Source organism: Homo sapiens, chromosome 11 (assembly GCF_000001405.40).
Source record: "Homo sapiens chromosome 11, GRCh38.p14 Primary Assembly".
Classification (NCBI taxonomy): Eukaryota; Metazoa; Chordata; class Mammalia; order Primates; family Hominidae; genus Homo; species Homo sapiens.
This window is the reverse complement of record NC_000011.10, coordinates 114151971-114179547: the sequence shown is the minus strand read 5'-3', so window position 1 is coordinate 114179547 and position 27577 is coordinate 114151971. Positions and strand designations below refer to the sequence as shown.

Genomic DNA, 27577 nt, shown 5'->3' with positions numbered 1-27577 from the left:
TGAGATCTGCACGCCTGCTTACATAAGGAAGTACAGAGTGTACCAAAACAGCAGACCCAAAAAAAGCATAAGCTGTCAGAACAATGAGTACAGACGCAGGGCATTTTACAACAGGCCATGGTGTACAGTTTTATTTACAGTACCTCTTATCAGACGGAGAACAGCACACTGGCTGCCAATTCCAAAGGCCGGCACTGTGTGTTCTTTCCCTCAAGGAGATGTGTACTCCCAGAGAGGAGCTTGAAGGCTCTCTCTCTCTCTCTCTCTAGCTCTCTCTCTTGCTCTTTCTCCTTTGTCAACAAAACAAAAAGCTGATCCAGAACCAGAGTTTCTGGAAGATACACAGATTCAGGGAAGAGGGAAAAGGGAAAGCAGGTGAGCAAATCCTGGCTGAAAGGAAAACAACCAGCCCCATTGATAGGTCCAGGATATGGTTCAAGGGTAGCTGTGGTTGACAAGGCTGTGGGGAAAGATCCTCAGAGTTCGGCCTCACTCACTACAAGATGGGAGGGTGAATGAACTAATGATACAGGACCCCACATAAATATAGGATGGAGAAAGACACCAGGGAATTCTCCTGGGCTGAGCAACAGAACAACGGGAGTCACCTGGGATGGAGGACAGGTGGTTTTTAGATCTCCAAAAGCCAGTGTCCCACCAGTGACCTGGCAAATGACTGACACCTCATGTGTGGCTAAATATCCACTCTGCAGAAGAGGAAACCCTGGACTGGGTCAGGAGGAAATGCTGAGACATCTCTATGGCTGAGGGAACATTTCTTATCCTACCTAATAAATGTGATGCTACTAGGAAGCTGCATGGTGCCCTTGTCTCTTACTGGGATCCTGCAGTCCCTCTCTCAAGTCCCACAGGGAGCACACAGGTCTACCTTGTCCCTTATCCCTGCAACTCAATTCTCAGCCAGAGTGGCTTGGAAAGCTCTTTTGTTACCCCTTTTAGCACCAGCGGGTAATCCAACAGGCTTAGAAACACTGTCCACAGCCAGAACACACACATGCACTCAATATTAAGCTGCACAGTAAGGTAGTGAAGAGCACGCTCTCTGGAATCAAACAAACTCTGGTTCAAGTCCCAGTTCTACCATGTCTAGCTACCACCCTGAAGAAGTGAATTATCTCTTCTGGGCCTGTTTCTTACCTAGAAAACTGGGCTCAGAGTGTTTATGCCACAGGGTTGGTTGAGGGATGATTAATTTAAATAATATATGTAAAGTGTTTAATACCCTGTCTGGCATACAATAATAGCCCAATAAATGCTAGTTGTCATTAAGACCAACATCATCATTGTCATCAGGAGATAAAATAATAGCAAGGTATAAGACACACACAAACATCAAATGCATGCAAGAGATATATCACGCAATTTAAAATATTCTTACCTCTCCAGCCAAAACACACCAGTAAAGATGGGGTCAGATCATTCTTCCCCAGGAGGAGATCAAGGAAATGACACCCCTACCGTCTGCTCCCATCATCACTCATGGCCAATGTTTAATGGTATTATTACCCTCCTACTGCCTACCCAGAAGGGAACCAGGGAATGCAAACCAGTTTGAGATGATTTATGTTTTTAAAAATACATGAGTGAATTATTTTAAATAAAATGCAAGTAGGATAGTAAATTTGTTGCAGATTTTTTAAAAATACAGGCCAGGTGCAATAGCTTGTGCCTGTAACCCCAGCCTGGGTGACGGAGTGATACTCTGTCTCCAAAAAAAATTACAAATATTCCTGAAGTCTAAGAGTAGTGACTCAGGGGTTCACCTTACCATTGCTTCTAATCTCTTTCTTCTCCTGGCAACTTCTATGACTGAGCAATCATGGTATTGTGGTAGTCAGCACAAGGGCACAAAATCTCTCTTACTACAGGAATGTCAGTCCCTGCTGTGATGAACCAGACTTCCTTCCAGACATGCTTTGCCAACTGAGAGATCTCTCGGAGGTTAACGGTCAGGCCCCCTCAAAATGAAGTCCCGGGCCGGGTGCGGTGGCTCATGCCTGTAATTACCCAGCACTTTGGCAGGCCGAGGCGGGCGGATCACCTGAGGTCTGGAGTTGGAGACCAGCCTGACCAACATGAAGAAGCCCCATCTCTACTAAAAATACAAAATTAGCCGGGCATGGTGGCACATGCCTGTAATCCCAGCTACTCGGGAGCCTGGGGCAGGAGAATCGCTAGAACCCCGGAGGCAGAGGTTGTGGTGAGCCGAGATCGCACCACTGCACTCCAGCCTGGCAACAGCAACAGCTCAAATCCAGAGACGGCTTTAAGGTTCTACCGGTACGGTACCAGCATCAACTTCGCAGCCTCACTTCCCTCCTGAAAATGTAGCTATTCATCCTCATATGATAGCTTAAACAAGAAACTATATGAAGTACCTGGCACATAGCAGGTGCTCAAGTCACAGTCATTATCATGATTATAGAATAATTTCACTTCATCAAGCTGATGAGCTCCAGGAGGACAGCTCCTGGCCACAGCCTACAGGGTATGCAGCCCATAGTATTTCCAGTCCCACAGCTCTGGGAGAAGCCCAATCGCAATAAGTAAATGGCCTGCATAAATGAGACACTATGTTCTCTAAGGCTCTCGTATACATGATATTATGCTATCTGGAATGGGAGACAGGACCACCCTTAGGTAAGACAGGGTAGATAACTGGCTCAAGGAGGGTTCTGCTGGCCAGCGCACCCAAGATTTTCCAAAGTACCAAAAGAAACTGACTTGCGGTCCTGACTGTCACTGCCTGAGCTGTGTAACCCTTGGTGAATCCCTTTATCTCTCCATCTTGAAATGACAAGTTTTAAACTGGGACATCTCTAAGGGAGAAAGGATGAACAGGTGTTCATGAGAAGCTGGGCGCTCATGGCAAAGAAAGTTAAACGTGGCCGTACACGAGAGCTCAAATGCATACAACCCTTGGTGTTTGGAAGGTGCTGTTGAGACCAAGCGAGGGCTGGGTTCCCCGGTTCAGCCAGCAGAATCCTTCTCAAGGTGAATATTCTGCTCTATCAGGCAGGTAGAATGGAACAGAGAGTCCAGACATTGGGAGAATCATTAGCCAGAGTCAGGCTGGGTCAGTGCGGCTGTGCCAAAGACTGACCCGAGTTCCAGGGAATACCTGGGCTTTCAAGTGTTCATAACTTTGTTTTGTTTAAGAGAGATAGATAGCTTTGCAACCTTGGCATTTGTGAGAGGCTGGATAATAAAGCCAGGGATATAAGAGTAAGGGTTTCTGCCATGATTTTATGGGACATCTCCGCAACTCCTAAACACCAACAATCACCCTCCTCCCAGGTCTCCCCTTGGGGATTCTCAGGAGAGAAGTTCAGAATGAAAAGAGAAGTTTCTGTTGGCCCCCAGCAGTCCCAAAGCTCAGCCTGTGATCTGAGCCTTCGGTCTCCTCTCATCCTCATCTATTCTGCTCCTTTCTTCTGAAGCAACTTCAGAATGCTCCGTCACAGGCCCCCACCCTAAATATGGCATGGAGGATTTCACACATACACACACACACACACACGCACGCACACACACACACACACACACACCCCTCTCCCCTGAGTAGGATTCACAATACTGGCTGGGCAATGGAAAAAAGAAGACTAAGACCCCTCCAAGGGTGGTGGCCGGGATCCAAGTGCCTACTCCACCCATTTCAAGCTGATAACCTGGCCCTGCCCCGGTCCCCCAGCATCTCCTGACACTCCTGCCAAATGACATACCTCATTGGAGGTATTTTAAAGGGAATAGGAGGCAGCATTCCTCAGTCTCGATGGCATTCTTGGCTTCCCTCACTTTCTCCAGGCTGGTCCCTGCCTCTCTCATTTCCCACTGACTGAAGAGAATGCCGAGTCCTCTCACAATGCTGAGATCTCTTTGGCATCTCAATATTGATAATTCCTTCATTGCTTGGGTCTCAGAATCCCCTGTCCTCTCCCAGCTACTCGGGAGGCTGAGGCAGGAGAATCATTTGAACCCGGGAGAGGAGGTTGCGTTGAGCTGAAATCACGCCACTGCACTCCAGCCTGGGCAACAGAAAGAGACTCTGTCTCCAAAAAAAAAAAAAGTTTGCACATGTATAAAATGGGGGGTAATCTTAGAGTTGTTGGGAGAATTAACTGGTATATTGCATGTAAAGTAGTTAGCACAATGCTTGCATCATAATGAATGGGCAACACATGTTATTAGTATTTTTATTGTGATGACTGTCAACACTATGGCAGCAGCAGCATTGTGACTCCTTATTGCAGGGCAGCCTTTGTAGGTTCCTTGGAAGGGAAGGAGTGAAAGTATTGGTGTTGTGTGCCTGTTGAGCTCCACTTTCTGTGCTGGGCACCTTCATGTGCATCATCTTGTTTAAACCTTCAACAACCTTACAGTCCCATTTCTGAGTGAGTGGTGTCACTGCTGTTGTGCAACTTTGAAGTCCTGCTTTTAGGATAGGAAGGATGTATCATCATCTCTTTAACAGGTGAAGAAACCAAGGCTCAGAGAGTTAAGCTGCTAACGCTCCTGATTTAGCTAGTGGGTAGCTGAGCTAACATCTCAGTTCTGTCAACATCCAGCCCAGGTTCTCCACTAAACTGCCTGTGATGGGAGCACGGGCCCAGCTTAGACAGCCTTCTATGCCTACTGAACCCTGCCTCTTCCCTGCAGCTTGACCTGGATGTCTTTGGGGTCTATGGCACGGCTTCCTGGTGGAGTTTCCAGGAAAAGAGAAGCTCTCATCTACAGGGCTTGTACAGCTTACAGCCAATTGTCAGCAGATAACTTGCATACAGAGCTCTGCCAATTGGTTTCTTGAAGAGTGCAATGATTATCACATTTGTGACAGCATCAGGAGCCTTCTAAAAGGCTTTATTTCTTTCATTTGTTGAAATATTACCTAGAGATGTTTTATCTTAGAAACAAAATACACACATACACACTACAAAGACAGTTGCAAGTGGCATTGGAGAGAGATGCTAGGAGGCTCATGCCACCACGCCCGGCTAATTGTTGTATTTTTAGCAGAGATGGAGTTTCACCATGTTAGGCAGGCTGGTCTCGAACTTCTGATCTCAGGTGATCCGCCCACCTTGGCTTCCCAGAGTACTGGGATTACAGGCAGGAGACACCATGCCTGGCCTTAGATATGCAAACTGAAGTTTAAAAAGCTTAGTTCTCTTGCCCAAGGTCTCATAGCTAGTAAACATAAAAGAAAAAAAAAAAAAACCTCAGTCAGAATGGCAGCATGGGAAGCCCACCTAACTCTCTTCTCTGAGTCCTTTGCCTATTAAGAAAAACTCTCACCTCCTGGTCCAGGCACGAAACAACACTGTCTATCCGACAGAGCCTGGGCTGGGAGCAGCACAGGGTCTAGACTTGCCTCTGCGTAGACCTCAGTGTATTCTAAGATCCTACTTTTCTTGGCCTGTTTCTCCATCTACAAAGTGGAAGTCATGTTCCTTGCCCCTCCCAGCACTTAAAGCTATTATAGAGAGGAATGAGTTCAAAGGTATGAAAACATGTAGGAAGGAAAACGTACAAACGATCTTCTAGAGTGACTTATAATAAAACTCTAGGCATATACCTCCATGCTTAACTCCCTTCTTAGGCATTCTCCTTTTGACTTCTAAGCAAGCAAGATGTTCTATCATAAAAAGACAATCAGTTGCATTCACTGAAAGTAGAAAAATGGACTCTCACATTGATGAATGATAGCAAACGACAAAGGCCGATATAGACAAGGTTTCCTGGTTAACCTTCAGTTCACCAAAAAGTCCTTTGATTACATCTTCTCTGAGCATCCTAGTTAATCAAGGCTTGTCGAGCAGATCCTCACTCTCGGCTGTAAAGGCCTCTGCTCTTCCCCATGTCCCTCTTCTTGTGCCCCTTATAGTCTGCCCTTTACTCACTGCCCAGATTGGACTCCTTCTCCCAGAACAGCAGGTAAATTCAATTATCTTGGGGCTGAGTACGTAAATTTTAGGCCTAGGCATCCCTCCTAGAGACTCCAGAGTTGTCAGTTCCTTTAAAGTCATTAATACACATATACGGGTACGGATGTGCTTCCACTGTGATTCCACTCTTGGTGACAGCTGGGAAAGAGGCCCCACCACCTGACCCACCCGTCACAACACCCACCATCCCCATCTCAGACACGGAGCTCCAGAGACTGCCACCCTCCCTTCCCCTCCCCTGGGCCCCTCAGTGGCACCTCGATGCTGCCAGTCTCTCCAGGCCTGCTGTGGCTTTTAGAAAACAGAGCATGTCTATTTTTAGCCCTTCTCAGCCTAATAATACTCCCCAACACCCATTCAGCTTAATCACTTTATTGAGGACAAGAAGCGGGCTCTCTAGCCCGGGTGCTTCTGATGTTAGGAAGTAGTAAAATGTTCAAACTGGTTAAAAATGACACTCATTGGCTTGCCTTTGGTGTTTCTGAAACCTTAATTGTGGCTCAGGCTGTGGATCTAAAGAGCCTTGCAGGTTTCAGAGTCTGGCTTCCTTACCCCCTGCACCATAATTGAGGTGTTACATTACAACTACGGCACTGACATTTGCAGGCTCAAAATTCAGCAGCCTTAAGATGCCACACTTTTCAAAACAGAAATATTGCCTGCCACACTTAATGCCTATTCTAAGTACGAACCACCTCCCTGCCGGAAAAAAACAAACCAAAACAAAACAAAACTCGTCTTTTCTGGCTCCTCCCATGCCAGAGGTCCAGGTGGGAAACTATTTGCCATATTAAGCCCATAGCTGCTTGAAAACAGAAAGGTTTGTTTGGTGTAATTAGAAGACCTGCGAGTTTGGTGTGTGCAGGAAATAGACTGTTGGCAGCTCTTCCACGTGCACCTTTGAGACCGTGACTTCCAAAGCTTCAGGGTGAGCATCTGCAAACGTGCAATCTGTACCACGTGAGCTGTGGGCTGGGAGAAATGGGCAGCCTGGAAAGGGGATGGAAACAACTTTGCCGCAGAGGTTAAGACCAGGGGCTTCAGGGTCAGGCAGCCCTGGGGTCACAGCGCAGCTCTGTCTCTTACTTGCTAGGTGATCTTGGGCAAGTAAACTCAGTCTCCTCATCTGTAAAATGGATGTCCTAACAGTACCAACTTGAAATGGGTCTTGTGAGGCTCAAATGAGATGACGAAGTAAAGCAATCTGGCACAGTACCTGGCACCTGTAGGCCTCCAGGAAATGTCAGCTGCCACTGTCATTATCTCTGGTTTCCTCCTTTCTACCATGGGCTCCTTCTAAGGCAAAGTGTTCAGTTTTTGTCTCTTCTGCCTTGCCCAGGACAAAAAGGAAATCTGGGCACTAGAATGGCTAACCATGGCCAGCTGTGTGCGGTCGCAGGACATTCTTGGACATGTAGTAGGGAACTCCTATGGACTCGGAGTGGGTAGATGGAGCTGGACCCACAGCAGGAGGATTGAGGGGATGATTTCTCAGGTTCCATTCAGCTAAGCGAGTGAAAGGCACGTCCAAGGCCTGGAAACTCACCTGGACCAGGCTCTTCTACACTCCTGGGCAGCTTCCCCTGCTGCTCCTGTCTCCCTTTCCTTCCTTCTCAGGCAGGGTGCTTTGAAGCACCTTCATAAACGTCCTGCTCTTCAGCAGGCAGAGGCGGAACGCCTCATTAACTTTCCTAGCTAATTTTACAATTTAACCAAACACCACATTTCTGCTTCGATTCAGCCAGCCTCTGACTGTGACAAACTTTTATAATGTTGAGATGGAGGAAGGAAGCAGATAGTCCGTGCCAGAGACTGAGATAAAGTTCTGAAAACTAAAGTGGGAGACGGAGAGTAGGAAAAAAAAATAGCTCTGTGAACTCTATGTATGCTCCCAAAGCAGAATTCTAGGCTGTGCAGGGCTGAGCAGTAGGGAAGAAAGCCACGCCGGCCTTGTGGTGTCAGAAAGATGGAGTACTCCCGTGACAATGACTCTTCCTGTCACCTTGGGGGGCCGGGGGCTATATCGGGAAGCACAGTTACATGCTGTCCTCTGAGGGGCATGATTCAATGCTGATGGGCAGCAGGCCAGAGGTGAGGCAGGCCACCCAGAGGACACGTTCAGCTTGGCAAGGCCCCAGGGCCCCGTCCAAAGGGCACTGAAAGGCCCTTCCCAGCCCACTGAGCCGGCTCCTAGCTCCTGATAGAGATTCTGGATGGGGGTGGAGTTCAGTGGGAGGACTGTATGTCTAGGAATGTTTCCCCATCAAGAATCCTATGGGCTAGAAAAGATCCCCAGGGTTGTCATCACAGTCCTACATACGCTGGTCCACGCTTTGCTCGGACAGGACAGACAGGACCTCATTAGAGACAGAGAGTATCATTCGGCCTCATTATCTATAATCAGACCCTGCTCTTGGTGCATAAATAAGTAATGAAGACAGTGCACTGTGATTCTCTTTGCTCCCGGGTCAGCTTCAAAGGCTGCACCTGTCCCTCTCGAGCCTATACTCCAGAGCTTCTGACTCCAGACCCCAAATCTCAATTAATGCAAAACTGGCCCCCCAGCAGTGCTCTCTCAGATGTGCTGGATTATGTCCATTAGGCCCCAATGAAGGCACTGGGAGATCCGGGATATTCAGGCAAGATAGTAGCCTCCCAAAATATCTGGTCTCTGGGCCTTTATCCCGGGCTCATATTAGCAAAGGCAACTGAGGAAGGAAGACTCCAGCAAATCCAAAGTTTCAGAGAGTTCTGTCTTTACCCGGAGTTACCTTGTTACTGAAAATGACTGTGGTCTTTCATAATTACTCCAACAAAAATGCAGCCGCCAATGAGCTCCCTGTGCTCAATTAGCTTATAATAGTCAGTAAGAGAGCTGCTGAAGTTTAATCCAACTACCCCAGAAGACTTTTTATCCCAACTACCTAATGAAAACTTTAGAATTTGCTTTTTTTTTTTTCCCCTTGTCCCAGGCAAGTGAAAGAATTCCAATCAAAACGGGACTGGTTTGGGGGAAGGAGGAGGGAGTGCGTTAACTACTGGGGAAAAGTCTGGAAGACATGTCTTTGTCAGGTTGAATCCTGGAGAGAGCCAACAAAAGGAGCCCCTGACTACAGAGGTATCCGCCCCTCTCTCCCACTGGCTTCCATCTACGCGGTGAACAAGCTCAGTCTTCACTAAAGGCATACACAGGGGCTTCACCCACGTGGTCCGAGGAGGTGGGCTGGGGCACGTCCTGAGACCGTCCTCGGATGCTTCCTCCATTGGCCCTCCAGGGTGGCCAACTCTGTCCTCAGCCTCACCCAGAGGCAGCCCTCTGACCTGTCTTCTCAACCTAGGCTTTGTGGGGTTCTAGGTACTCGTAACATATTTTTTAGTCCATCAAATCCTATATGAGAAATTTACAATCTTCTGGGTCCGCATCCAATTTTAAGCCTTGCTTTCACATGTGTTTGTTTTATGGATGCCTCAACTTGGAGGGGCCCCCTGAAGTGGCAGCTTTTCATCTTTAATGCAGTGTTTCTCAACCTCCAGGCCAAGGAGGCCCACAGCCATCACAGGGATTGGAGGACTCCCAAGTGCAAGAAACTGGGCTCTAAGTCTCTGCCAGGTGGCTATGGGCGGAGGAGGATGAGGAGGAAAGAGATGCCTGCCTGGATGGTTCTAGCTCACAGAAGTTCTTGCTTCCTCTTGTCCAGAAAGGTAGGCCACTCCCACCACAGCACTCCTTCTGGATACTCCAGCAGCAAAGACCTCATCAAAATCCCATGAACCTCCTTCCCGAAGCTCTCCTCATTCCCCTGGTTCTTAGGAGCTTCTCCCCACTCTAAATGCCTGCAGCACTCAGTCTTTCCTCTTGCGGTCACAATGAGCACACCCAGCCTTGCTCAACGCCTTCTCTTGCCAGGGGGCTCGTGTCACCCTCTCAGCCAGACCACCAGCTTCTTGCAGACAAGGACACTGGCTTCAACCCCTCTGTCCACCCTGCCAAGCTTTGCACACCACTGGCCCTAGGTTCAGTTGCTAACTGATGAATGACTTCACAAACGATTTCCTGCAAAAGAGGGCCACACGTGTGACCCAGAGTAGTCATCGAGGTTTCTCTGCTGCTCAACCTTCACCATCTGGTTCCCATTTGGCTGATGTTTCGCTCCCCAGAGAAAGCTCCAGCATCCCCAGCGCGTGCCTGGGGAAGATGAGGCTGTCAGAGAATGGACACAACCAGCCTCATGTCAAGTGGTCCAGCTTCACTGGACATAATCTGAAAGGTCAGGGAGGCCCAACCTTCCTGATGCATCATACTCCAAGACGCTTGAAGTCTAAGGCGCTAGTAATAGCCCAAGTGGTCACAGCTCTCACATTTCTGGGCTGCAGCACAGGTCGGCTGCCCCTTTCACCCCACCCCAGCATCACAGGGTGCATCTACCAGAAGCAGAGCACCCAGTTGCGTCGCCATGCAGGAGGGACCACAGGCAGCTCTCTCCTCCTACCCCTCCTACTTGGCAGGATAGTGCAAAGGAGGAGTGGGGGGCATGACACAGTCAAGCTCTCCCTGGGTGGGAGGGCCACACACTAACCCACAGACCCTCCTGCAAGGCTCCCAGAACCCTCCTATCCCCAACCCTACAAGGCACTGAGCAGAAGTCATAGCCACAACTCACAACCACTGAACACATGCTCCTCTGGCAGAGCAGGAAGAGGCTAATAAGCCACACCTGCTCCTGGTGGCACAGGTGCAAGGCACACAGGCAGCAGCCAATTACTATGCCACCCTCCCCACCCCCAGGACCCTTGGGCACAGGGCCTTCCTGGTCTCAGCTCCCCAGTTTGAGATTGGTTAGCTCTACAAACAGAGAAGCAGGCATTTAGGCACTCAAACAGCACGAGGCCAGGGCTAGGTATAGCAGCATGCTATACTATAATAGAAAAGCAAGACACAGGGTGGAAGGAGAGAGAAAGAGAGGGAGATTGAAGTCCAGCTCTGCTACTTTCTAGCTTTATGATCTTAGGCAAGTTAACTCTTTACTGTCCTCATCTGCAAAACGGAATCAGCATATCTGTCTTCCAAAGTTGAAGAAAGACTGAGTTCAGATATGCAGAACACATAGCACTGTGCCTGGAACACAGCAAGTTTCAATAAATGTCTTTCTCTCCTTCCTGCAGCCAAACCATGCATCCTGAGCCCTTCACTTCTTCAACAGATATTTCCTGAGAGCCTGCTATGTGTCCCGCTGTGAGGATGCAACAGAGCACACTACTGACAAGGTCCCCGCCTTCCATCCTTGTCTTCTCATCCAGATTGCTGACTCCTGGGGCTGGAGGGAAGCAGGCAGCACCTCAGGTCTGTTCCTTACCATGTGCCCATCCGCATGCCTGCTCACTCACCCATTAGGTTATTTTTCAAATGACTGAGTTATAACCACCATTCAGGTTACTAAGCGAGGTAGTATAGGGGACACAAATAAATCACATGTTCTCAAGAAGCTTACAGTCTAGTAGGCAAAAAAGGCCAAGCAAATAAATAGCTATGTAACAAAGAAGGTGACAGGTGCCATAAGAGGGGATAGATAAATGGCTAAGAGCGATCAGATGGAGGGCGGCCTCTTGTCCTGCCCAGACAGACACATCCTAGGGCTGAGTCGGCTGACTTTTCAAAAGAGAAGAGAAAAAGGAACGCTCGCCGGTCGGGCACCAGGCCTAGCATGGGAAACAGGCAGGACCTATTTAAAACAACTAGAGCCAGGTTAGAGCCTTTTCTGGCAAGTCCCAAAACTCCTGGAGCTGATCAGATAACCAGATAGAACCAATACTGTCAAAATCCTATGGATTTTAAAAAATCATTTAGCTGTTGCCGGGATGATAAAAGAATCTTGCCATTCAAAGGGAAGGTGCAGGCTCAGAGGAAGGAGGGGTCGCTGGGAGAGCAGGAGGGGGCTGGGGAGAAAAGGGAACGCCCTACAAATATAGATCAGGGTTAGGGAGAAAAACCAGACGGCCAAGGACATTTATGCATTGTGGTTGCTTTACTACCTAATTAATTCAGTAATTTCAAAAACAATTTTATTTATGTTCCATTTACCACATCAAAGGTGAAAAAAATCCTACTGATGCTAAAATAATACCTCAAGGCATCTATTTTTAATCAGTTAAAAAAAAAAAAAGCAAGGGGTAGAGGGAGAATTTAAAAAAAAAAAAAAACAAAAAAACTCGCCCTGGTTTCTATACAATCTCTCCTGGGCAGACCACCAACCCTCAGAGAGAGAGAGAGAGAGAGAAAACACAGCCAAGCCCTCTCTGAGAGCCTTCCTGGCTGCTGAAAACCAAGCTTGTCAAAAAAAAAAAAAAAAAAAAACCAAAAAAAAAAAAAACCACAAATCCATAATGGCCCGAGGCTCCTCTCCAATCTATTTTCTGCTCAGCTGGTTTTAAATGAAGTTATTATGAGTCATTAAAACACCCGCAAGCCAGTGGAAGTCAGCCAATTACAATTTTAAATTTAGCCTGTTCTCTGCCCCATTCTCTTGTTTTCTTCCTTTGCCCACAGAATGCTGCTGCTGTTATTTTTTCCCTCCCTTCCTTTACCCAAAGTGAAAGAGACAGTTATGAAAATGCATAGTATTGCACGGAGCACAGAATCATTCATATGAAACTCAAATTATTAGACAAAAAAATGCAAACTTCTGCCCCCTCCAAAGTCAACCCAAGCCTTGCCTCAGCCCACTGGATTCCTCGGAAACTCCAGTCTGAGCCCCAAAGGTCATGGGGCTATTTTTAAAATGAAAAGGTTCTTCAGTGGGGTCTTGTTGAGAAATGTTCACATCCATCACACAAAATCAACATTTTCATGGCTGAATCCAAAAGGTAGAAACACACCACCACCATCTGAGAATTAATAACAAACAATGAAGTTGAAATTCAAAGGTAAAGCAGGCTTTGCAATCAAGCATGAATGTCGGTAGAAGTCACTCGATATGATGAGCTCATTTAGTTTTTAAATCTTCAAGGTAATGGTCTGTGCGGGCCCATTACAGCAAAGGAACAAATTTGAGTATTTCATGTAAATGCTTCTTCTCAATCTCTTTTTGTTCCCATGCTTGGACACACAAACACACACATGCACACATGGTGTTCTGATTAGGACTGTGTCCCCGATTTCTAGGAGACACTGCAGCTTTTCCATACCCTCCAACAAGTGAGTCCCTCTACCCAAAGGACTGTCCAATCCTGCAATCTTCACCAACCTCATTTAATGGATGAGTCTGCAAGCTCCACAGAACAGATGCCCAGATGTCTGCAAACACCTTCCATCACCTCCAGGCCCCCTCTCCCTCATGGTTACACACACACACACACACACACACACACACACACACACACACACACGTAGACCAGTCCTCTGCCCCACGATACTTGCAGTTCTATGCCCCAAGAACGCAGGAGAGCCACAGCCACAGACCTAGGCAGTTGAACACCTGGGAGAGGAGTGAATGCCATGCCATTTCACTGACAGTCACCGAGGGTTAGTGTGGAGGCCAGGATGCTACCAAGAGTGGCTGCCTACCTGGTTGCTCTGGGTGAGCTGGAACTCAGGGTCCATCCCTACCAAGCAACCTCACTGAGAAGAGCATGTGAAATACCATGATGTTTCCAGGCCCATTGCGACCTGCAGCCATTTGCCAAAGGCTTGACCTCTATGGAACATAAACCTGAGGCCTGTGAGCACAGATGTCCCAGGTTCTGAAGGTCCCCAGAGCTGGGCAGATGACACCCTCCTATCCTCAGCCCTGAGCCACCCCACTAAGTAGTTCCAAGTGAGACCCCTCAACAGCAACCTCTCAAGTGGTTCACCCAGGCCTGTTCTCCCGGAAGCCAGTAAAGCTGAAGCTTCAGGCCTCTCCCTGGCACTGACCCCTTTCCTGGGAGAGGCTCTAACACCTGGTATTTATAATCCTTTTCTGAGAGACAGCACCCAAAACTGAGTACGCTTCAGGCCCCACCAAACCCAGATCTGCCCTAGTAGTACAAACACTTTTATAACAGGATATTCATTTATTTGACAGATACTATCAGTGCACAACACTCCTATGTACCAGGCACTTTGCTAGGGCATGAGTATGTGAGGGCAGCTGCTGAGTCCTGCACTCAGGTGCACAGTACTGGCCCAGGAGAGCACAGTACCAGCAAAGTCCAATAAGGGCCTTGTAAAGCCTAACCCTGCTAAACTACTTGCCCATTCTCAACACAACTGGGATTTGGGGGGAACATCCAGGGACCTGGGAAAAGCAGGGGCCAAGCCAGAGAAGCCCCACTCTGGCCCCTGAGAGGCAAGGGACAAGAGCACATGAGATTCTAGGTGCTGGGAGCATTCTAGGGACACTGGCTCAAGAGTCCTCCCCTCTGGGGAGACCTCTGGGCCAGAGTGACATTTTGTTTTCCATTCCAACCACTGCCCAGCTTCCAAGCTAAAAAAAACTTTGAGGTGGTGGGTTAGGACAGGGAGGCAGGGAGGCAGGGAGAGACAGAGACAGAGACAAAGACAGAGAAAGAGAGAGACAGAGAAAAGACCAACGAAGACAGATGGAGACAAAGACAGATGAAGACATAAGAAGGAAGACAGAAAATACACAGGAGTGTCAAGAAAAGGCCGAGGCTGACACAGACACAAAGGACAGGGACAAAGAGATGAAGTGAGATGAAAGCAGATTGGGGAGAAATAGAAGGAGAAGAGAAGAGCTGAAAAATAAATACCTGCCACCACAGAGACCTGGACAAGAGCACTGAAAGTAAGGGCCGCAGTAGCGTGATGGATGCCCAAAGCAGGGTGGGGCCCCTCAGGCACAGCCCTGGATACAGATACCCAGGCCCAGCCTGGTTAGAGGGCTAGGGAATGGGGCTGAGGGCAAGAGAAAGCACGGCCAGGCCTCCTAAGAACGCTTCCGGCAGGGTGTGTGTCTGCGAAGCCAAGGGAAGACGAAAAGGCCCTGGAAATCAGAAATGGCATTGCCATTATCAGGTTGATCCCACGTAAATATCCCTCCCCAATAACCCCATATCTATTCATCCTCAGACAATAACAAGGACCAGCAAGGCAACCCAGAACGTAGGAAGGATGGCAGGAGCAAAGGAGAGGAAAGGGAGACTAGGAGAATAAATGGCAGACAGACAGATGTCCCAGCATCCATCCCTCTAGGGCACCATTCATTTCCTAATAAGACCGTCATCCTCTAGCTGTGCAAAATCATGTGGTGGCATGAGACAGGGTTTGTGTGGAAGAAACCACCCTATGCTGAGATAGAAAAATCATCGAGAGAGGGAGAAGGAAGAAGGTTATTACATAATTTCCACTTTCTTCCCTCCACCCTCAAAGTAATGTTCTATCTGACAGGCTCCTCTCTGAGGGGGGAAAAATGACAAATCCAATCCAAAATTCAACAGCCTGTGTTCTGTTCAGAGAGCACACAGTGTACTGTACAGCCCATAAAACTCCAAACAGCCTCCAGACACTGCCGCAATCGTCCTCCATCAAAACACTTTGTCTTGCATACAAAAATAAGATACAGCGCTGAACAGAATACAAAATCAGCCCATTACAGTACAGGGAGACTGCTACTTAGCAACGAGGGGGCTCTAAAGCCTCGATGCTCTACAGGAAGCAAAATCTGTCGAGCCTGTTGGGCAAACGATAAACATTAGCAGTATTAAAAAACACAAAAGCCATGTAAATGGATAGACATAATGTGGAAACAAATTTATAGAATAAATTGGGATGGGGGATTTGCGGGGTGGGAGGAGATGCTGGGATCCAGAGGGGTAGATGGAACGAGCTTCCCCAACCCCTGCTAAGGCACCATATGGAGACAGAGACATGTGTATTTGGGGGCAGGGACATGTGAACCCCCTCTTCACACAGGGGCTGTAGGTGAAGGGGTGGGAGAGAACTGGTGAAAACACTGTTTAAAACCATGACCTGCAATGAACTTTCCCAACTTTCTCGGTTCAGCTGGCCTGACTAGGACCGGGGGACCCAGGCACGCAAAACCGCAGCACTAAGGTGGCAGTTACGTGGGGGATTTATCTGCCCTGGGGCCAGCATCGCACCCAGCACCATCATGGAACCTGATACTTGCTGTAAACAAAATCCCTGGCCAAAAAACAAAAACCAAAAAAAACAAAAACAACCCACACAACAAAACCAAAAACACCCCATCTGGGCTGGAAAATCAGTATATTTCATCAGGTAAAGGGGAAAAATACTCTGGCTGTGAATCAGCAGCAGGGTTTCGGATCCCAGCCAAAACAGGAGCTAAAAAGCAAAACCATATTCTTCTGGTCTCAGTTTAGGCTCTTGAGGCAGAAAGCGAGAAGGGGTGGGGGTGGGGTTGGGGGGGGACTGAGGACGGGTTGGGGGGAGAGTAAAAGGGGAGAGGAAAGAAATGTATTTTTCATCAGCCAGTGTATAATTTATAAACAGCATTAAACAGTTTTTGTTTTCCTTTTCCTCTCTCCCGTGTACGGGCTTGGACGGTAGTCAAGCCTGCATTAATTTCTGCTTTGGGTACAGTGTGTTCTTGGAGGCGCATCTGCAAGCGATCATAAACTCTCTGGAATGCTGGCAGAACATCCAGACCTGCCGGCAGGCCAGTGACGACACCACTCTGGGAAAAAGTTCGGGAAGCAAGCCAAATTCAGAGTAGGGAGAGAGAGAGAAAGAGAAGTGTGTTCAAGAGCGAGCTGGGGGAAAGTGGCTCCCTTCACCCTTTCCACTCTCTGCATCCGCATCACCCATGCGGACCGAAGGGAGGGCAGCCTGGCCTCTGAGCCACCCCCATCTGATCTTCTCCACTTCCTTGACCCAAAAACCAAAGGCGCCCCCACATAAGGAATGTGGAGGGAGTCAAGGAACATGAACGAAGTTTCTTCCTGGTCATCTCCCGGGTTTGCCCTGATGGTAGGAAGCTAACCAGAAGGGATAGCTGGTATTGACTGGAGAGTGGGCAGAGGGTGCATGGATTGGCCATGGGCTCTCACAAGCCTGGGCAGCCCCAAGTCTCTTGCTCTGAGCAGATACCTAATCTGGGAGGAGAGAGGTGAATGGGAGGAGAGACAAGATGAGGGGAAGCCATCTTTGGACTCAAAGGCACCTCTCCCATCATCAGCGTGGGGACCACCTCGCACTGTCTCCTCCCAGTCACAGGGAATTTTCCAGCTACCTCTCTTCCCCCATCTTCTCTGTCTTTGAGGAGAAGAAACTGAAACCCACAGCTCAGTGCTCCAAAAAAGAATAAATAAATAAAACAGAACAAGGACAAGCCACAGATCTTTGCCATCTTGTAATGCTTTTCTTCTTCCGTCCAACCGCGACAGAGGAAAGCCTAAGAGATCCAATCTGAAGGACTCCTCCAGCCCTTTTCCCTGCCAGGAGGATGACCCAGGTCCCAGGTGATAAGCCCCAGCCACTCCATGCTGCTGCTGAAATCAGAAAATCTATCAACGAAAGCCTTCATTCTTTCCCCATGGCTCTAACTCTGGGGAAGAGCCTCATCTCAGGGATGCTTCTCAACAGCCAGGGCCTACAGTGCCTGACAAGGGCAAGAGAGGAGTGGAAGGATGGGGCCTCCCACCTGGCAGAATGGGGCCACAGGGCCCTAACCAGCACAGAAGGCACAGGCCTCTCAACACTCCAGCCACACCCCAACACAGACGGCCAGTCTTCAAGTTCTCCAACAGGCTTTATTCACCTTATATTCTAGCCTAGTCTACATAAAAAAAAGCCCAACAGTCCCTTCTATTCCAGACACAAAAATATGTCACCCTCTTACTCAGTCCTTCAGTGGCTCTCCAGTGCTTCAGGGAGAATGCAGATCATTTTGCTATTCCTTCCACAGATGTATCTCGTCCATCTCTTCTAAACCCTGCACTCTGCTCTCTCCCTGCAGGCCCAGCCTACACTCGCAGGTTACACCACCCACTTCCATAGGTGGCTTCGGCTTCCCCTCACCGAGTCCTTTCAAAATGCTGTTCTGTTACCCTCTGGCACAAAACACTCTCCTACTCTGAATTTCTCCTAGATTTCTTAGCACTTTGCACACATTACCATCTTGTATGATGATTGCATAGTCATACTCATCTCCCACTCTAGACTTAAGCTCCTTGAGGGCAGGGATGTTGTAGCAGTCTTCACTGTTAAGTGCACAGAGCCTGACACACAATTCGTGCTTATTAAACATCCTCTGGCTCCAAAAATGAATGACACTCCCAGAATAGGAGCAGGCCACATGAATACTCAAACCCTAATCGTATGCAGCCGAGTCAAAAATAGGGACAAGCAGTTCTAGGCATGCTCACTTATAAGCCACCAGGACGTTAAGCCAAGCTGTGGGAAATCTACCTAATGGGAAACCTTACACTGGCCCATCTCAGAACCAATTTGAGTCACTGCATGTGTCTGTGGTCTCTGCATGGACACCTCAGAGCTAGGAATCACTTCTCGTGTTACGACAAGGAGTGGCGAAGAGACAGTGGATCAACAGATGCTTCAATGCCAGATCCCCAAAAGGGGTAAGGTAGCAGAGGGTGAGGAGGGAGGTTTCAGAGTCTTCCTGGGACACAGGAAGGGGAAGGGCCACAGTCCTACACCCAAGCTTCACCCTCCATCAGGGCTAGCTTTGCAAAGCCTTGGAGGTCATCTCTCTTCCCACCCCAAGCCTCTTTCCCCAACACGCAAACCCTTCTGACCCCCAAAACCACCTCTGAGAATGCAGGGCCTGGCCAGATCATCTCATTAGTTAATGAGTTTGGTTATTGATAGTTAGTTTAAACTTATTGTGATCATCAGGTATAGCCCATAAACACTTGATTAATTCACACATTCGAATTGAAATTAAAACTTCAATTAAACTGAAATTCACTACTACCATTTAGGCTCTTTTAAAAACCCTTAAAACAGAAAGTAAGGGAGAGAGAAAAAGGGAAGGCACTGTCTCTCAGAAGGGCCTCCTACAGGGCAAACTTCTAATTAAACAAATTGTCAATTTCAACACAATGAAAACTGATTTAGCAGTGTAAATTTAGTATTCTAGTCACTGAAAATAAGACCTGCATTGTCGATCTCCTGCAGGCTGATTTCGCGTGATAGGGAAATGAAGAGGAGAGGAGGACGACAGGGAGAGAAAGGAGGAAAAACTGCGAAGGAAGAACAAGCCGGAGCTCCGTCTGCCTTTCAGAAATGACATCTCTGCGGAATTCAATGCGGCCTATTCTCAAGCATCGGAGAAACTCTTTTCTTGCCTCCTCCTTCACCCCACCCCAACCAGATTAGAAAAAAAAAATTAATGGTGTATGATGACAAACTTGGCTCAGCACTCACTGTACATACTGTACCCACAAGTCTGGCTCGCAGCCAGGCCTGGCCTGGAGCCAGGACTACAATAACAAACACAGGCAATGCTCGCCAAGAGGGGGTGGGGCAGCACACAGAGCTAGCCAGGAAGTGAGAGCCGTTCGGCTCTGCTGAGCAGAAGAAAACAGCAGGAATGTGCCAGTGCAAGGGCAGCAACATTTAGGGGGGCAACCACAACCCCTACCCAGATCCTGGACTCACTTCTCCACAGCCTGCGCCTTTTGAAAAAAAATGCTCGCCTCCCCCCCGCCTCCCCCGCCCAGGGTTCTGGAGCAACTACTGTTCTTCCAGGCTGTGGGCTGCTTGAACCCTTGGTCATCTGTAAAATGGGTCTACTCTACAGACCTGGCACACCCATTCTCACTGTCAGCTTTCTTCATGGAACCTTCAAAATAGAGCAGCAGGAAAACCTCACATCATCTAATTCAATGTCTCTTCTAAAACATCACCTAGTTCTGTTTTCAGGCATCAGAACATGTAAACCACTACTGGAATCTGTAAGAAGACCCAGCGCCACCAGCCCAGCCCTCTGACCCCAACTCCCCAACAAGTCCAGGTCACTCCAGAGGCCCCCAGGGCCTGTTTAACAGTGGCCAAACAATTCAGGAAATGGTCTAGCCTCACTAAGCCCTTTGTGCTATTTTATTTTCAAGACCTCTCAGCACGGAGGTGAGGAGTATGCCGGACAACAGAAAGAAAAAAAAGAATAGAAATATCAGAATATAGGCCGTGAGCTATCTGCAAGGGTGAATTAAAACACTACTATGACTCATCGCACCTGCCTAATCATCAAATCATCCTTTCCAAGGGCATTGGCAAGTGACTAGCAGAGGGACAAATCATTTGACACAATCAGCCTTCAGTGCCCAGTAAGACAGGCATGGAAAGGAAAAACTAGGAAAAGAGGACCCAACTCCCAAAGCCTCTGGAGCAGCCATATGAGATCAGGGGACCTGGAAGCAGCATCTCAGGTGGAACCAAAGTCAGCTTCCCCAGGGAACCGCCAGCTCCGCAGGGCAGTTGCACAGTCACACTCTTGTCTGAACTGGGGACACCGGGCCCACCTGACATGAGTATGCAAGCAACCCTTTCTTTTCTGCAGCCGCTTCCACCAGCCCCACCAATGCTGCTGATGTGTGATTCACAGCAGAGACACTGGCTAACTCACACTGGGTCACACCGCCTGGAAGAGGGATACAATACGAGCCAGGGGCTCCTGGCTGTCCCCTCCAGTGAGTCCTTAGGACATAAACAGTTCCTACCACAGGAGGGACTTGTCCGGAGAGAGGAGTGTCCCTGTTCATCGGCATCCCAGGCTGCATCATTCACTCAACAAATACTTCTTGGCACCAATAATGTGCCAGGCAGTGTGCTGGACATAACGTGGACAGGATCTAACCCCATGACATGTTAGCTATGGTGGTATGTATTCAAGGTGAGCCTCACAGCTTCTCCGAGATAGCGTTAAATATTTTCATTTTACAGATGAGGATACTGAGGCTGTAAGAGCTTATGGTTCTTGCCCCAGATCACATCAGCAGTAGGTACGTGTCCAAATTCCTTCCACCATGTAACCCCGCCTCCCAAGTAAGAGAGATAAGTCCATAAATAACTGTAACACAGAAGAAAAACTGCACCCAAAGATAGCTTCAAATAAAGAAACATGGGCACAGAAAAGGCACGACTGCTTCTGGCTGGAGGTGGGGAACAGCTGGGGATGGCATCATGGAAGGGACCTTGGAAGATCTGGGAAGATGGGAGATGGGTTATTCCAAGTAGACAGAATGGGGCAAACAAAGCCACAGAGCCCAGAAAGCAACAAGCCCATAAAGCAAACCAAGAAAATGAGTCTGGCTACAGCACTGGACTCAAGGAAAGAGCAATAAGAAAGGACGCTTACTGCGGCTGAGAGGGCAAAGACGCTTTACCAACAGGCTAGAAGTGCACTGCCCCAGAAGTGCCCAGCACCACACAGGGGTCTAGGGCAGGACGCACCACACTCTGCAGTAAGGCAGTGGTGGGCTAAAGCAGAAAAAATCAAGACCAAGAAAGCAAGGGAAGGGTAGCCAACCTGGTAGGCAGATAGTTCATGAAACCCGCCACACTCTGAACCTTAAGTAGCGTACAAAGCTGAAGGGAAGCATGAAGATACAAGGTGTAAGTCCCTAAAACAGAAGAAAAAGTGTACGTGAGTGTCAAGCAGATCCGGACGCAGAAATGCCTGGAAGTTAGGGCTCTGGGCTGAGGTGAGACACATGGGCAGGAGGAGGATGATTCAGTGGAGCCAGGGGCAGGGTGGGGAGGGCCCACAGGAAGGAAGAACAGAATGCACGAAGACATGGGGACAGTAGACGCGCTGAGAGAGATAGCTGCCAGCTGCCTGCTGTGGACAAATCCGTGCGCCTGGAAGAGGGAAGAATGGGAAGTGAGAAGGAGTTAGGACGCTTTAGGAAGGGCCATGAGGGCCGGGGGAGAGACCACATCCAACACAATGCGGAACCACATGGGCCCTGCAGCAAGGCAGTGGGGAGCTGAAGCAGAAAAAGCGAACGAAGAGCACTTCCACGACTGTACCCATGATGGGCTCAGGGGAAAGACAGTACTAAACGGCCAGGCAGGCAGGGAACGAGCGGATGGGGACACGCCCCCCGGGGCAACAGGCTCAGAAACAAGGATGAGGGAGGAAGGTGCAAGCAGAAACCATTAACATTTATTAAATGCCAACTGTATGCCAGGGGCTTACTACAGATGCCTTCAACGTATATTCTGTCACTTAATCCTCCAAAAAATTATGTAAGTTAACAACACCAGCACTTGACAGATGCAGAAACTGAGGTTCACAAGATGAATGTAGCTAAGGTCACACAGCACATATTACAAACAGGATTTGAACCTTTCTCTGCCTGACCCCAAAGCCCATTTCCCAAATGCCAAACTGCCTGGAGGGCCAGTTTCTGGAGCCAATATGGGGAAAGGAGAGGCAGGCCTTGGCCTACATGAGGAGAAGACAAGACCAAATGAAACAACAGCCCTCTCCTCTCCCCTAAAAAATGACTCCAAGGTTGGAAGGCAAGGGAATTAAAGGGAAGAGACTATGCACCTGGCAAAGAAGAGTTGAGGCCTCCACAACTAAAGTCAGGTGACCTAAGCCTCAAAGCCACCGCATCAGACCTGCTAGATCCTTCCCTCCACCAAGAACACTCGGGCCTGCCAAATGTCAGGTGCTTCTCCCCATTCCACGCCTCGTGGGGCAGAGCAGCTTTGCCCAAACATGAGCAAAATTACCAGCAGCCACACAGTCGACCTCAATAGAATTGTATAAAATTAACTTGCAAAAGACAGCACGCTATAACCAGCTTTGTGTTCCAACCTTTCTATATCCATTTAATTAAAGGCTCCTGTATAATGTGAACCCAATAGTCAGATTCATTAGACAGTGAGAACCTAATTCCACAACTGTTCCACTAATGAAACTGCAGTCTACTTTGGAAGGTAGATCACACAGGGCACTGGTTGCCACTGATGCCTGGGAAACCCACGAGAGCTTGAAGGTGGGTTCATCCAAGTGGCCCCGCCATCAGGATGGATCTTCTGTGTCATAAGCCTGGAGGGAGGGTCCAGGGAACAAGATGGACCAGGGCCCCAGCGGGCAGTGGGGACATGCAGGCCACAGCAGGCTCTGAGGAGGGGTAAAGGCAAGCAGGAGATGGTTGCCTGTATCTGAACGGGCCACTAAGGCGAACTTGCCTACCTGAATGAGCCAGTAAGTGCATTCTCAGCCGCAAACTATCCAGGAACCGCTTCCCGCAGAGCTCGCACCCGTACGTCTTCATCCCACTGTGCAGCTTCCTGTAAGGGAAAGGAAAAGAGAGGTTGCTGCTGCTCTGGCTGGACAAGAGGCAGGGCCATCCCCTACCTGGGGGCTTGGCAGCCATCCCTCTGGCAGGTGACAGGCGGAAGGGAACAGGAGGGCACCGATGGAAACACATCCCTGGATCCTCAGACAGCGTAAATCACGCCCTCTGCCCAGGGACTGCAGCCAGTGAAGCACCCATTCCTGGTCTTGTCCACGGGCTTTACCACTGACACATGGACCAAGAAAAAAAATCAGATCCAATTCCAGAGGGAGGAAGGATGCAACACCCAGGACAGTCAGACAGACATAATGCTCACTGTCAAACTAGCACAGACCTCACAGGAGGCCCACAGCCTCTGCTCACCTCTGTGTAGCACTGCCTTTCCCGGGTGGTGACTGTGAACGAGCCCATGGGACCCAGGAGGGCTACACCTGTATCTTTTCTCTCTCCTACCTCCAACTTCCACTACAGTGACTGACACAAAGGAGGCTCTGAATAAGCCTGTGAATAAATTGATGCCCTTATAGACATAAGATACTTCTCTGGCATCCAGATGTTCTTAGGACTGCAATGACCCACCCCAACATGCACACCTTTCCCCTAAGGCCCAGCTTTAGAAGTGTCTTCCCTCTGTCTTGCCCCAACAGAAAGCAGAGTTTCAAGAAACTGGATAACATCATTCTATAAATGTAGGGTGGTCATAGTCATCTGCAGCTCTTCATACACATGCTCTCATTTTGCCATTACTGTGATTCTGTGAGGTGGGCTAGGCCCATGTTATCACCCCTGGGAAGACCAAGGTCCCAGTAACAACCGGTCACAGGCCCAACCTACAGCAGTGCTCCCATCCCAACTCCCAACCCCCAACCCGGGGCCTCTCCCACCAGACCCCTAGCTCAGTCACGAGCCAGCACGGGAGCTGGTAAGATGCAGGGAACCGGGTGCGCTAGCAGGGAGCCGAGCACTGGGGAGAGGCTCCAAGCTGCCGCCCACCCACACTCCTGTTGTCAGGCCCATACATGCTATTGCCGGATCCAGGATCTGGCCTCCACCTCCGCCCCAGTCTCTGCGCCATCCCTGCAACGTCCCCAGGGGCCTTGGCCCTCAGGACAGGGCAGGCGTGGCAGCCAGAAGCCGGATCTGTGGGCGGTGGGGCAGGCAGAAGGGAAAACAAGGCCCTCTATCTCCATCAAAATGTTGATGTGTTAAGACCATAGTAAAAGGCTGGAGAGCTGGTACTGACAACAGATAAAACTGCAGGTGGGGAGAGGGAGTATTACACACTCAAGCTGGCAGTATCTAGATGGTAGCAAAACCGAGCCACCCACCCTTCCAAGTCCCAGAATGAGAACCCAGCAGTGTGTCAAGACCATGTGGTGGACCCAGGTGAGCCTCCCTAGAGCCACAGTCAATGGGCTCCCACAGCATGAGGACCAGCATATGGTATCCACTGTGTACGGCCTTCTGATAGGGATCACACAAAGTTCTCTCAGCAGAGCTCTTTCTCAATCACATTGTTTTGTTTGCATGCTTTCCCTTTCCCCACTTGCCAAAGACAAATGATTTCTCAATCACAAACATACACACACACACACACCCTTATCTATGACACTGTAGGGGTACCACCCCCCCATGTTCTCTTGCTCCTTGCCATGCTGATCCACCCAAATTGAGAAATATTAACAGTACAGAACATTTTAACTGAACATTCTTAACTCTAAATAGATTTCACAATGTTGGGCACTGGGACATGTCCTAATAGCATTTTGGACAAAGTATCTTTTAAACTACATACCTAGGGGTATGTGAGTGCATGCAAACACACACGATGGTGGAGTATTCCTGTCACTTGCCCGGGCATGATAGATACTTGCTGTTCTAAGAGATGTTCTTCTATAGAGTGGCAAAGGCTCTATTCATAAGGGGTTTGGCAGGTGAACTCGCACACAGTCATGGCAAAATCTGGTGGATGGCAACATAAGGGTTTCAGTTTATTTTCATCCTTTTCTTCACCAGGGGTTTGTTAGCTCCTGGAGTGCCCACTTCTGAAGGGTGGCTGTCAAGAGGAATAGGAGGACGAACACCCATTTGGATTTATTTTCCAAAGGGACACTAGAGTGACCGGTCTTCAGATTTGGGAGCCACCACCAGGCTAAACTCCCCTCTGGGGCTCCCATCTCTTCTCCATGAGGGTTCCAAATCAAATCCCTCACCATGATAAACACTCTTGGTTTGGGTAACACCACTGCCTTTTCTCTAGGTATGAATGGATTTGCTTGGCAGTTGGTGGAAGTGGCTTATCGTGGCCAACTGGATTGGCTTGGTGTGAAAGATGACAGGCACTTGCCCTTTTACTACAGAGGTGGCAGGGTACAAAGAAGAATGCCCAGCCAGCAGCCAGAAGACCTGCATCCTCCCACCTGACTCGGCCATTAACCTTGGACAAGTCATGCTATCACAATCTCTCTGTGTTTGATCACCTATAAAGTGATGAAGATCACATCAAATATTTTGAATAGAGACAAAATTTTATCATTCAAAAGTCTTACCCATATCCTTTTACCTAGCCTACCAGGTGGTCCTCTAAGGGGCACTATTATTCTCCCTGAGCCACGTCCCACTTCTTACGGTGCATTGTGATGTCCTCTGACACTGAGGCAGCCAGGCTAGGATTGCCCAAGCAAACCTCTAGACCCAATCCCAGCAATCTAGTCATTTAAAATCTAATCCAAGTGGCCTGAGTTTCCTCCTTTACTCACTTGCTATTTATCTTTCAGTGAAAGAAACTTCCAGAAGTTACCACCAGCCTGTCCTCGGAATGACTCTGTTGTCATGCATTTCGCTGCCTTCAGAGACCCGGATGTCCTATCCTGTCTAATCCTCAGGGTAAGGTCACTGCCCTGCAACTGACCCACTAACTCAGTGCCCCATACAGGTTACCAGAGATTAATATGGTGTCCATGTGATTTCACATGAAGTACAAGGGCAAAGGTCTTTCCTCACTGGCAGAGAGACCTGGGCAAAGCACATAAAGTTCATTAGAGAAAAAGGGAACAACCTCACAGGCCTGGGAGTTCAACAGAGCCCAGCACTGGTTTGCTCGTATCTTTAATTCTTGTTCATCTACCAAAGGAAGAATGTGGAAAAGTGAAGGCTTCTCCTAATTCAAAGAAAATAATGGTGGAGGATTTCAGTGCATTTGAGGTACCTGGCTACCAGTAGACTCTCCATGGCACAGTCTGCAGAACAGCCAATGTGGAAATAGAATTCCAACCGATTCCTGGAGCAAAAGTGCAAATTTGTGTGAACTCACAGTCTATTCCCTCTTTAGACCACAACCTCCCACCACTACCATCACCACATTATGCAACTGCAAAGCATTTAGATCAAAATGGAAATTCTATCCACCTCCTTCTTCCTTACCACACACTCACATCTTCCCAATCTAGTCCTGTCTTTTCATAAGGTTTAATTGCACGTGGCCATCTGAGATTATCAGCCTCCACTGTGACAGGAAAGGAAGGAAGACATCTGGGGACATTTTTGCACCTTTCTGCACACTGCCTTAGTTGGTGGTAGAGTTTTCACACACTCTTCTCTGAGAAGAAGCTACCTTGCTGAACACCATTTTGAAAGTAACCCAGTTCTAGTACAGCCCACGCATCTCCATCCTATACTCAGTGGAGATTCCATTGCCCCATATGCTTCAGGTCCTCACTCTCCATTCCTGGGGAACAGACTCAAGTTCTCCCCAACTCTTAGTGGCTCATTAGGTAAACTCACCTTGCTTGTAACAGATTTTCACTTATGTCCAAAAAGACAAAGAACACATTAACCTCTAACCAGTTTCTATTGTCTCAAGAAAGCTGAATCATTATGAGAAATTCAAGCTAAACAAATCTGAACCTTTTGACAAGAAACTGAAGAGAAGAATTCATTCCTTCTCACTGGTTTTCAACCAAACAACTCTCACTAGTAAAACGAAGCTAGCAAGATACAAGCTCATCATTTGAACCATTTCTGTGCTATTGTGAGTCTGCAAACTCATAAAGATTTCATCTGGTTTAGAGAGCAAACTCCATAATGGCAGAGACCGTGCCTATATTTCCTTTCCTCATGAGGCCTCGTTCAAAAGGGATTGATCAAGGATGCTGGAGAAATCCCTCTCTGTAAAGTGGCATCTATGGCATTCCTTTGCTCATCCTAACAATATTCTAAGTACAACAGCTTCATAGACAGCCTCCAATTCAAAACTGGACCCTGTCCTGTGGCTCCTAAAGTCCATACAAAGAAGGCTAATGGCTACTGCATAGAAGCATGAAGCCATTAGACCAACCTGTCATCTTCAGGGTAAGCCT

General features: G+C 48.5%; 1 protein-coding gene across 6 annotated transcripts in view, besides 4 other annotated features; it reads right to left on the bottom strand.

Annotated features, from left to right (window-relative positions):
• The window catches only part of ZBTB16 (zinc finger and BTB domain containing 16), a 197060-nt gene that overhangs the window by 77223 nt on the left and 92260 nt on the right, over positions 1-27577 (bottom strand). For all 6 annotated transcript variants that reach the window (NM_001354750.2, NM_006006.6, XM_005271658.6 and 3 more), the window contains one exon: positions 23114-23211. In NM_001354750.2, the coding sequence (NP_001341679.1) occupies positions 23114-23211 (98 nt within the window). The remainder of the gene's footprint in view (positions 1-23113; positions 23212-27577) is intronic.
• Positions 14316-14815: an enhancer, noted in NCBI's record as "H3K4me1 hESC enhancer chr11:114035455-114035954 (GRCh37/hg19 assembly coordinates)". NCBI's record gives its function as "activates a minimal SCP1, AML or CMV promoter by ChIP-STARR-seq in primed H9 embryonic stem cells {active_cell/tissue: H9 hESC(primed)}" and the evidence as "EXISTENCE:reporter gene assay evidence [ECO:0000049][PMID:30033119]".
• Positions 14816-15317: an enhancer, noted in NCBI's record as "H3K4me1 hESC enhancer chr11:114034953-114035454 (GRCh37/hg19 assembly coordinates)". NCBI's record gives its function as "activates a minimal SCP1, AML or CMV promoter by ChIP-STARR-seq in primed H9 embryonic stem cells {active_cell/tissue: H9 hESC(primed)}" and the evidence as "EXISTENCE:reporter gene assay evidence [ECO:0000049][PMID:30033119]".
• Positions 18970-19469: an enhancer, noted in NCBI's record as "H3K4me1 hESC enhancer chr11:114030801-114031300 (GRCh37/hg19 assembly coordinates)". NCBI's record gives its function as "activates a minimal SCP1, AML or CMV promoter by ChIP-STARR-seq in naive H9 embryonic stem cells {active_cell/tissue: H9 hESC(naive)}" and the evidence as "EXISTENCE:reporter gene assay evidence [ECO:0000049][PMID:30033119]".
• Positions 19470-19971: an enhancer, noted in NCBI's record as "H3K4me1 hESC enhancer chr11:114030299-114030800 (GRCh37/hg19 assembly coordinates)". NCBI's record gives its function as "activates a minimal SCP1, AML or CMV promoter by ChIP-STARR-seq in naive H9 embryonic stem cells {active_cell/tissue: H9 hESC(naive)}" and the evidence as "EXISTENCE:reporter gene assay evidence [ECO:0000049][PMID:30033119]".